The 11,260-nt window shown below is 44.1% G+C and overlaps 3 annotated features.

Moving 5' to 3' along the window:
- Positions 71 to 150: an enhancer, noted in NCBI's record as "active region_5122". NCBI's record gives its function as "activates an Ori minimal core promoter by ATAC-STARR-seq in GM12878 lymphoblastoid cells {active_cell/tissue: GM12878}" and the evidence as "EXISTENCE:reporter gene assay evidence [ECO:0000049][PMID:35858748]".
- Positions 221 to 280: an enhancer, noted in NCBI's record as "active region_5123". NCBI's record gives its function as "activates an Ori minimal core promoter by ATAC-STARR-seq in GM12878 lymphoblastoid cells {active_cell/tissue: GM12878}" and the evidence as "EXISTENCE:reporter gene assay evidence [ECO:0000049][PMID:35858748]".
- Positions 8,571 to 8,800: an enhancer, noted in NCBI's record as "active region_5124". NCBI's record gives its function as "activates an Ori minimal core promoter by ATAC-STARR-seq in GM12878 lymphoblastoid cells {active_cell/tissue: GM12878}" and the evidence as "EXISTENCE:reporter gene assay evidence [ECO:0000049][PMID:35858748]".

Below are 11,260 nucleotides of genomic sequence, written 5' to 3' on the forward strand. Positions count from 1 at the left end.
GACTTTGCCCCGTGGGTTGACTGAAAGGGTAAATTCTTTGGACCTAGCAGTGGGATCTCTAGACTTCAGCGCAGGGCACCTCTGCTTTCGGTTTCTGTCTGGCTCTACGTGCCGTGGGGGATTGAGAGGCATCTCTGGCCAGGCCAAGGGCAACCCGGATCCCGGATCTGGGTAGACAACAGTGGGACTAGTTTTGGGAATTCGTTTTTTTTTTTTTGAGACAGAGTCTGGCTCTGTCACCCAAGCTGGGGTGCAGTGGCGCGATCTCGGCTCACTGCAAGCTCCACCTCCCGGGTTCACGCCATTCTCCTGCCTCAGCTTCCTGAGTAGCTGGGACCACAGGCGCCCGCCACCACGCCCGGCTAATTTTTTGCATTTTTAGTAGAGACGGGGTTTCACCGTGTTAGCCAGGATGGTCTCGATCTCTTGACCTCGTGATCCGCCCGCCTCGGCCTCCCAAAGTGCTGAGATTACAGGCGTGAGCCACCGCGCCCAGCATGAGAATTTGTTCTTTTTTAGAGAAACAGAATTTTTCACAGGAGGCTGAGCTGCTCCATCTCCCAGAGCCCCTACTTGCCATACCCCGGGTTACCAGAAACAGGAGCTCTGCCATTTGATGAAAAAAATACTTTTTTCAGATAAATGTTTTTGTCATATCATCACACAAAGCGGGTAAAGTTGTATATATATACATACAACTTTTTACAAATATGTGATCATATGTACAAAGGCTAGAAGGAAATATACAGAAAAATATGTATTAAAATACTGGTTTTTTTTCATTGTTTTATAAGATACTCTACAAAACATTACAATGAGGTAGGACTATTTTAGTGCTAGAGAATCTCATTAAATGAATTTGTTCAAGAGCTTCTTTGTCAGCTGGGTGCAGTGGCTCACACCTGTAACCCCAACACTTTGGGAGGCCAAGGGGGGCAGATTGCTTGAGCCTAGGTGTTCAAGACCAGCCTGGGCAACATAGGGAGACCCTGTCTCTACCAAAAAAAAAAAAAAAATTAGGGTGGGCGCGGTGGCTCACACCTATAATCCCAGCACTTTGGGAGGCTGAGGCGAGTGGATCACCTGATGTCAGGAGTGTAAGACCAGCCTGGGCAACATGGCAAAACCCCGTCTGTACTAAAAATACAAAATTTATCCAGGCATGGTGGTGGGTGCCTGTAATCCCAGCTACTTGGGAGGCTGAGGCATGAGGCAGAGGTTGCAGTGAGCCGAGATCATGCCATTGCACTACAGCCTGGGCGACAAGAGCGAAACTCTGTCTCAAAAAAAAAAAAAAAAAAAAATTAGCCAGGTGGTGGCACACACAGCTGTGGCCCCAGCTACTCAGGAGGCTGAGGCGGGAGAATCACTTGAGCACGGGGAGTTGGAGGTAATCGTACCGTGAGTACAGTGAGCCGTTATCGTATGGCTGCATTCCAGGCTAGACAACACAGTGAGACCTTGTCTCAAAAGAAAATAAATAAATAAATAAATAAATAAATAAATAAATAAATAAATAAAGAGCTTCTTTGTCAATATCCTTTTGTGGGTATACATCATAGTCCCACAGTACTTCTTCAACCCAGGGAGATAAATGTGTATTAGTCTGAAGACCCAGGAGAGAATCTTCAAGACTTGGCACTGTCACTGATGATGATCTGCTTCCTTACATTATGACAAATGTATTCCCAGCTCCGGCTTGTTCTGCCTCATTAAGAGAATATTTGAAGACATTATTCATGATAGCAGCATCAGCATTTTGCAGAAGAAACCCTGGGGACAGATGTCTGCATGAAGCACCTTTATTCTGTGAATAAACTGGTATTTTTTAATGACCATTTCCTGCAACTGGCAAAAGTCTCCGTTCAGTTCTACTCCACAGGGTTGCACTGCTAAGCTATAAGATCACCCCATAAAGACTGTGCTGAGCCTGGAGCTGACGTCAGCCACAGCCTTTCCTGATTGATCAGGGAGTGCATGAAGATAAATGAACTTCAATTCCATGAGGGAGAAGGAACGAGCAATCGGTCTAAAGGTTCTGTTTGGTGTGAACCACCCAGTAGTTTCTGCTCATTTTCCCTTTGTCACATAATGAATCAATGAAGTCTTTATCACAAAGGAATGCGTCAGCGTGAATGGTGGGTTCTGGCTGCTGCTGTAGTTTTTGAAGGGTTAGATGTTCTGAGGAAAGCATGGTTTCTAGAGGCAAGCAATTCTGAAGGTCTTCTGCAGTGGGTTTTTTTTTTTTTTAATTTTGAGACAAGGTCCGGCTCTGTCACCCAGGCTGGAGTGCAGTGGCTCGACTGTGGCTCACTGCAACCTCCAACTTCCAGGTTCAAGCAGTCCTCCCATCTCAGCCTCCCAAGTAGCTGAAACTACAGGCACGCACCCAGCTAATTTTTTTTTTGAGATGGGGTCTTGCTATGTTGTCCAGTCTGGTCTCAAACTCCTGAGCTCAAGTGATCCACCCCCTTCAGCCTCCTAAAGTGCTGAGATTACAGGCATAAGCCACCACACCCAACCTTTCTGCTGTGTTTTTAAACACAATGTCTTTATTTCCTTCAGTGAATTCATCAAAATCTCGGGCAGTTTGCATCTGCTGGAGCAGTGCCGGGCGGTCGGCAGAGCCACAGTATAGAGCAGTTACAAGATTTCCTGCCTTGCCGAGTGAAATCTATGCCTTCCAATTTTTTTTAATTAATTAATTTTTAAAAAATTAGATTGGTACAAAAGTAATTGCAGTTTTTGCCATTACTTTCAATGGCAAAAACAGCGGTTACTTTTGAACCAACCTAATATTATAGAGACAGGGTTTCACCATCTTACCTAGGTTGGTCTCGAACTCCTAAGCTCAAGTGATCCACCCACCTCGGCCTCCCAAAGCGTGGTGATTATAGGCATGAGCCACCATGCCCGCCCCTCCCCACCAATATATTTTTAAAACTAGTTGAGTGTGGGCCAAGAGTTGTGGGATCTGTGTCACCACCAATCCCGCCTCTAAGCTGCTGGGTGGGTAATATGGGAAAACAGTAATTGTAGCAGGACTCCAGTGGCAGAAGCCATGCGGATAAACTACAAAAAGCAGAAGGGACACTGGGGATGCTGACATCTCCATTGGTTGAGATTACCCTTAAGGTATTGAGCAACTGTGGCCAGGTCCAGGAAGGGCAAAAAAAAAACAAAAAACAAAAAACAAAAAGGCAACACAAGACAAGAAGCCATCGAGTCTCTTGGCTACAACCAGCCAGTACACAAGAAACAGTTCACTGCGGCCAGGCGTGGTGGCTCATGTCCGTAATCCCAGCACTTTGGGAGGCTGAGGCGGGAGGATCACCTGAGGTCAGGAGTTCAAGACCAGCGTGGCCAACATGGCTAACCCTGTCTCTACTAAAAATATAAAAAATTAGCCAGGCATGGTGGTGGGCACTTGTAATCCCAACTACTCGGGAGGCTGAAGCAGGAGAATCGCTTCAACCCAGGAAGCGAAGGTTGTAAGCTGATATCGCGCCATTGCACTCTAGCCTGTGCGACAAGAGCAAAACTCTTTCTTGAAAAAAACAAAAAACAAAAAAACAAAACAGTTCACTGGAGATGATCAGCCATAAGTAAGATCCCTAGGGACCCCACTGCCCGGCCAAAGGGCCTCCCGCCCTTGAGAACACAACAGTGTGCATATTGTAAACAAGAGGGCCATTGGGTACTAGAGTGTCCTAACTGTCCCCAGTGGGTAGGGAAAGAAACTTCCCCGTCAATCAGCCCACCAGATGCTACAGTTTGCTAATAGTGACCAGAAGTGATGGGACTTGGGGACTCCTCTATGATCTGGGAACCCCTAGATCGGGTAACAATTGCTGTGGGAGAGACTCACGGGTTTTCCGACACTAGAGCCAAATTTTTGCCTGTCTCCTTTCTACCGTGTTCTTCCTAAAATTTAGGAAAGGGCTTCTGCTGTATGGGAGAGATAAATTTTAGCTAAAATTGTTAGTTGGACGGAGACAGAGTTGGAACTGTCTTTTAAGTAGTGAATTTTACCTGACCCATGGCTAAACCTTTAAAAGTTAAAGCTATAGGATCGTTATTTGTATCTGGTAGTATGTACACGTCCGGTTATATTTGGCTATGGTACCGAATTGGCTTATAAAGAAATGAGTACTCATAAACTAAGCAAATAAGACCAAGTGCTTTTCAAGTTCACATGACAGTAATCTTTTGGTGAATGGAACTAGTCTAAAATTGTTGGTTTGATGGGAATGGTGTGCCTTCTGAAATGTAACTTAAAGGTTCTTACTTTTTTTTTTTTTTTTTTGAGACGGAGTCTCGCTCTGTCGCCCAGGCTGGAGTGCAGTGGCGTGATCTCGGCTCACTGCAAGCTCTGCCTCCCGGGTTCACGCCATTCTCCTTCCTCAGCCTCCCGAGTAGCTGGGACTACAGGCGCCTGCCACCACGCCCGGCTAATTTTTTGTATTTTTTTTTTTTTTTTAGTAGAGATGGGGTTTCACTGTGTTAGCCAGGATGGTCTTGATCTCCTGACCTCGTGATCTGCCCACCTCGGCCTCCTAAAGTGCTGGGATTACAGGCGTGAGCCACAGCATCCGGCCTTAAAGGTTCTTACTTTTATGATAGTTGCCTGACATCCAGCTATATAAAGGTAATTAACAGATAAATAATTTGAAATGATGACTAGCTTTGTCTAATATATCAGTTCTCATAAGTAATCCTGGTAAACTGCTAAAAATAAATAAAGTATGTAAAGGTAAATGGGATAAGTATCTATCGGCTTTTTAATGTAATTTGAAATCCTCTATTAGGTAATGGATACTCATTAACTATGTGAGTTATTTCCAAATAAGACAAAAACTGGAACAAATTGCTGACCATAAATATGTTTGCCCTGGGTCTCTTAAATTTAATATAAAGACTAAATATGTTTGGGCCTATAAATACGTATAAAAATTATGCTATAGGAAAACATGTTTTTCTAACAATTACAAAATGGCTCTTCCCCATAAAATACCAATATGTGATAGGAAGTTCAAGATTTTGTGCTTCCTATGTTTTCAACAAAATTTAAGGGAACTGGATGGGCACTGTGGCTCATGCCTGTAATTCCAGCACTTTGGGAAGCTGAAGCAGGAGGATCGTTTGAGATCAGGAGGTTCAGACCAGCCTGGGCAACATAGTGAAACTCTGTCTCTACTGAAAAACAAAAAAGAAAAAATTAGCCAGGGGTGGTGGCACATGCCTACTGTAGTCCCAGCTACTCAGGAGGCTGAGGTGGGAGGATCACTTGAGCCAGGGAGGTCAAGGCTCCAGTAAGCCAAAATCAATGCCACTGCACTCCAGCCTGGGTGATGGAGCACGACCTTGTTTCAAAAAAAGAAAAAAGATAATTAAAAACAAAAATTTAAGAGTACTAAGGGTTTTTAAAAATCCTAATATACAATTCTATATAGGAAGTGTGCCAAAAGTAAGGAGCACTTAATAAGAAAACAGTAAGAAAGGTATACAATATATTCTTTATTGAGAAAAAAAGTAATTTGTCTAATTTAGCTGTTATTTAAAGGGAGTTTTAAAATATGGATTTAGGAAAGAAATAGAAAAAAGATTAAAAGGAACCAGTAAGTAGATGAGACAGAGATGTAAAGAAAATTACAGATGTGAAGCAATGAGAGTAATTTTGTATAGGAAAGAAACTTGTGTGTTCAATCTCTGTCTTGGACTAAAATGACTAGACATTTAAGAAAGAGGAAGTACAGGGCAAGTCCAAGCATGCCACAGCTGTCTGAGTAAGTCATGATAAGGCTTGTGAATGGGAACTTATGATGGAAATGTTGGGTGTGATTAAATTGGCTGTAATTAAATGAAATGATTTGTAATAGTTTTTTTTTTTTTTGAGATGGAGTCTGGCTGTCTTGCTCATTTGCCAAGGCTGGAGTGCAGTGGTTCGATCTTGCCACACTGCAACTTGCATCTCCTGGGTTCAAGTGAGTCTCCTGCCTCAGCCTCCTGAGTAGCTGGGATTACAGGCGTGCACTACCATGCCTGGCTAATTTTCGTATATTCAGTAGAGATGGGGTTTCACCATGTTGGCCAGGCTGGTCTTGAACTCCTGACTTCAGGTGATCCTGGCCTCCCAACGTGCTGGGATTACAGGCATGAGCCACCATGCCTGGCCTGTAACAGTTTTTCTAGAGAATGAATTTGAATGTTAAAACACATGATACATAACTTACAATTTTGGTCCCCTGTGTTAAAACAACAGTGGTTTCGGCTGAGCGCAGTGGCTCATGCCTGTAATCCAGGCACTTTGGGAGGCCGAGGCAGGTGGATCATGAGGTCAGGAGATTTGAGACCAACCTGGCTAACATGGTGAAACCCCGTCTCTACTAAAAATACAAAATATTACCCAGGCTTGGGGGCGTGCACCTGCAGTCCCAGCTACTCAGGAGGCTGAGGCAGGAGAATGGCGTGAACCCAGGAGACGGAGCTTGCAGTGAGCCGAGATCACACCACTGCACTTCAGCTTGGGTGACAGAACGAGACTCCGTCTTAAAAACAAACAAACAAAAAACAGCAGTTTCTTAAGACATTAATTCACTCTTAGTAAAGTTCCAAGAGGTTTTGATATTTATTTCTAAAACCTGCTTCGTTAATAGCCATTCTCTGAATTACAAATTAGTTTCTGTTTCTGTCATATTCCTTCTTAAGATCAGTCTAATTTCTTTGGTTTCAGGTTTATCTCAAAGGTCTAGAAAAGCAGCTTTACGCCAGTATAAACTGATTCTGTGTTCTTGGTTTTTCTTAATGTGTCTGAGTTGTTTCATGTAACCAGGACTTCCCATGGTATTACTAATGTATTCCCCTGCTCACCAGCCTAGGAAACACAGATTGCTTAGGGAGACTGAGCTTTAAAGTGTTAAGGTTTTTCCATGCATGTAACTTTTCGTGTTGCTTTTGAATTCTTTTGATTGTCACTGTGGTTAAACGAGTAACTATTATTCGGCAGTGATCTCTGATTCTGTTGAAGGAAGCCATTTGAACTTTTTGACATCCTCTTTGGCAGAATTCCCCAGGATCCAAATCCTAAATTAAGCCATCTGGCCTAAAATCAACTTTGAGATTCTACCAAAAGGGCCTCCTGGAACAAGCCTCAAAGGTTTTGTCTCTGATCTTTTGGAGATATTAAATGATCAGGCTTACTTGGTAAATAATATGGGAAGCATTGTCAAATAGAAACGGTGTTTAACTTCCTTTAAGTAATGTTTGTGTAAGTGTGTCACTAACACAGGGGAAAAGGTTTGAGATTCCTAAAACTCTGATATGCCAAGATATGTGTCATGACTGTGATGGTTGTGTCACATGGTTGTATGCCAGAGAAATGCTGAAATTTCTGGCCGGGCACGGTGGCTCACATCTGTAATCCCAGCACTTTGGGAGGCCGAGGCGGGTGGATCACGAGGTTAGGAGATTGAGACCATCCTGGCTAACATGGTGAAACCCTGTCTTTACTAAAAATATAAAAAATTAGCCGGGCATGGTGGTGGGCACCTGTAGTCCCAGCTACTCGGTAGGCTGAGACAGGAGAATGGTGTGAACCTGGGAGGCGGAGCTTGCAGTGAGCTGAGAATGCGCCACTGCACTCCAGCCTGGGTGACAGAGTGAGACTCCGTCTCAAAAAGAAAAAGGAAAAAAAAAGAAATGCTGAAATTTCCTGTCAATTGTAAATTGTCATCAGATCTCTGACTGGCTGCTCTGGGCTTTTGTCACCCACAGTTAATTCTTATTTTTCAGTCAGGGTCTCACTCTATTGCCCAGGCTGGAGTACAGTGGCGTGATCACAGCTCACTTCAGCCTTAACCTCCCAGGCTCAAGTGATCCTCCCACCTCAGCTTCCTGAGTAGCTGGGACTACAGGGGTGCTCCACTGTGCCCAGCTAATTGTCTTTATTTTTTTATAAGGACAAGGTCTCATGTTTCCCAGGCTGGTCTCAAACTCCTGAGCTCAAGTGATTCTCCCGTCTTGGCTTCCCAAAATGCTGGGATTATAGGCGTGAGCCACCATGCCCTGCCACCCACAGTTGTTTTAAATTCTTCTCTGGAAGCATTCACAATTGGCTATGGTCCAAAATTGCTAATTAAGATTGAGCAAAACTGGCCAGGTGCAGTGGCTCACGCTTGTTGTAGGGTCCAGCCCTACAGGATATGTGGGTTTTTTCTCTTCATGTGTGGAGATGAGAGATGGTAGAAATAAATACACAAGACAAAGAGATAGAAGAAAACACAGCTGGGCCCAGGGGACCACTACCACCAAGGTGTGGAGACCGGTAGTGGCCCCAAATGCCTGACCGCACTGTTATTTATTGGATACAAGGTAAAAGGGGCAGGGTAAGGAGTGTGAGTCATCTCCAATGATTGATAAAGTCACGCGAGTGAAGTGTCCACCAGACAGGGGGCCTTTCCCTTTAGGTAGCCAAGGCGGAGAGACAGAGGACAGCTTACATCATTATTTCTTCTATGCTCTTCTCAGAAAGATCAAAGACTTTAATACTTTCACTAATACTGCTACTGCTATCTAGAAGGCAGAGCCAGGTGTACGGAGCATAACATGAATGTGAAACAGGAGCGTGACCGCTGAAGCACAGCATCACAGGGAGACAGGCCACCAGATGGCTGTAGGTGGGCCTGACTGATGTCAGGCCTTCCACAAGAGGTGGTGGAGCAGAGTCTTCTCTAACTCCCCCAGGAAAAGGGAGACTCCCTTTCCCAGTCTGCTAAGTAACGGGTGCCTTCCCCAGGCACTGATGCTACGCCTAGACCAAGGTCCGCTAGGTAATGGATGCCTTCCCAGGTGCTGGTGTTACCACTAGACCAGGGAGCCCTCTAGTGGCCCTGTCCAGGCGTAACAGAGGGCTCACACTCATCTGGTCACTTCTCACCGTGCCCCTTCAGCTCCTATCTCTGTATGGCCTGGTTTTTCCTGGGTTATAATTATAGAACAAAGATTATTATAATATTGGAATAAAGAGTGATGCTACAAACTAATGATTAATGATACTCATATACAATCATATCTATAATCTATTTCTAGTATAACTATTCTTATTCTATATATTTTCTTTATTATACTGGGACAGCTTGTGCCCTCAGTCTCTTGCCTTGGCACCTGGGTGGCTTGTCGCCCACACCTGTAATCTCAGCACTTGGGGAGGCCAAGGTGGATGGATCACTTGAGGCCAGGAGTTTGAGAACAGCCTGGCCAACAAGGTGAAACCCTGCCTCTACTAAAAATACAAAAAAATTAGCCTGGTGTGGTGGCGGGCAACTGTAATCCCAGCTACTCAGGAGGCTGAGGCAGGAGAATCGCTTGAACATGGGAGGTGGAGGTTGCAGTGACCCAAGATTGCACCACTGCCCTCCAGCCTGGGTGATGGAGCGAGACTCTGTCTTAAAAATAAATAAATAAAAAGATTGAGCAAAACAAAAATAATTACATGAAATTAAGTAATTGATATGAATAATGTTTTTATGACTTAAATGTGAGACTATCACCTCATTTTGTTTTGCAGATTCAAGGAAATTTTCTGTCATAACCTGCCTATAGTTTGTGAGGACTAAACTCTGATTTTTTTTGTTCTTATTTTGCTCAAATTCCTCCCTAAGGGGCCTGGGGAGTCACACCCTACAAACCATAAAGTCTCATCAGAGAGGCTTTAATTTTAACCCTATAGCGTGGTCTGCTTTCTGACCTGACTCTGGCATAACCTCACATAACAAATAAGAGAAGAAATCAAAATATTTTAACCCCAAATATATTTGCTTGCCATATCTTGAAACTGCCCTGCAAAGTTGTCTCCTGTGGAAAAAATCTACATTCTGTAGAGAATCCCATTTTCCCTTTTTTCTAACTTCTTTCCAGATCCAGGAGATAATCAACTAAGAACCAGGCACCCTTTTATGTTAGATAAGAAACACTTCAGGCCAGTGCAGTGGCTCACACCTGTAATCCCAGCTCTTTGGGTGGCCGAGGCATGTGGATCACTTGAGGTCAGGAGTTCAAGACCAGACTGGCCAACGTGATGAAACCCTGTCTCTACAAAAATACAAAAATTTGCCAGGCGTGGTGGTGCACGCCTGTAATCCCAGCTGCTCAGGAGGCTGAGGCAGGAGAATCACTTGAACGCAGGAGGGAGAGGTTGCAGTGAGCTGAGATCACTCCACTGCACTCCAGCCTGGGCAACACAGCAAGACCCCATCTCAAAAAAAAAAAAAAAAAAGAAAAAGAAAGATTTTACAGCCTACTATCTGAGAGCTTCCTCTGCACAATAAAACTTGGTCTCCACAATCCTTTATCTTAACATGAACATTTCCTTTGTGTTGATCCCAGGTCTTCAGATAAACTCAACCAATTGTCAACCAGGAAAATTTTAAATGTACCTATAGCCTGGAAGCCCCTGCTTTGAGTTGTCCCATCTTTCTGGACCAAACCAACATATATCTTGCACGTATTGATTGATGCGTCACGTCTCCCTAAAATGTATAAATCCAAGCTGTGACCTGACAGTCTTGGGTACATGTTCTCAGGATCTCCTAAGGGCTGTGTCACGGGCCGTGGTCATTCATCTTTGGCTCAGAATAAGTCTCTTAAATATTGTACAGAGTTTGACTCTTTTGATCGACATTTGCAATAACTCGATCAAGGGTCCTTTGTGAACAAAGGTGGAACTTATTCATTTTTTCTCCCTACTTGATTCCTACAAAATTCAGAAACTATTCATGAACATTCTTATTTATATATAGTAAAACAAACAAACAAAAACAAACAAACAAAAACCCTGCTCTCAGGGCTGGGCACAGTGGCTCACGCCTGTAATCCCAGCACTTTCAGAGGCCAAGGTGGGAGGATCACCTGAAGTCAGAATTTCAAGACCAGCCTGGCCAACATGGTGAAACCTCATCTCTACTAAAATAGAACAAATTAGCTGGGCATGGTGGCGGGCACCTGTAATCCCAGCTACTAGGGAGACTGAGGCAGGAGAATCACTTGAACCCGGGAGGCAGAGGTTGCAGTGAGCCGAGATTGTGCCTCTGTACTTCAGCCTGGGCTACAGAGGGAGATGCCACCTCAAAAAATAAAAAAACAAAAAACAAAAACGAAAAACAAACCCTGGTCCCTGTAAGCAGGACACAATTAGAAACATCGATTGTATTACTAAGGTTTGGACTGAAATACCATTTTTAAGAAATGTGGGCTGGGAATGGTG

The sequence above is a fragment of the Homo sapiens genome, chromosome 11, assembly GCF_000001405.40.
Source record: "Homo sapiens chromosome 11, GRCh38.p14 Primary Assembly".
Lineage (NCBI taxonomy): Eukaryota > Metazoa > Chordata > Mammalia > Primates > Hominidae > Homo > Homo sapiens.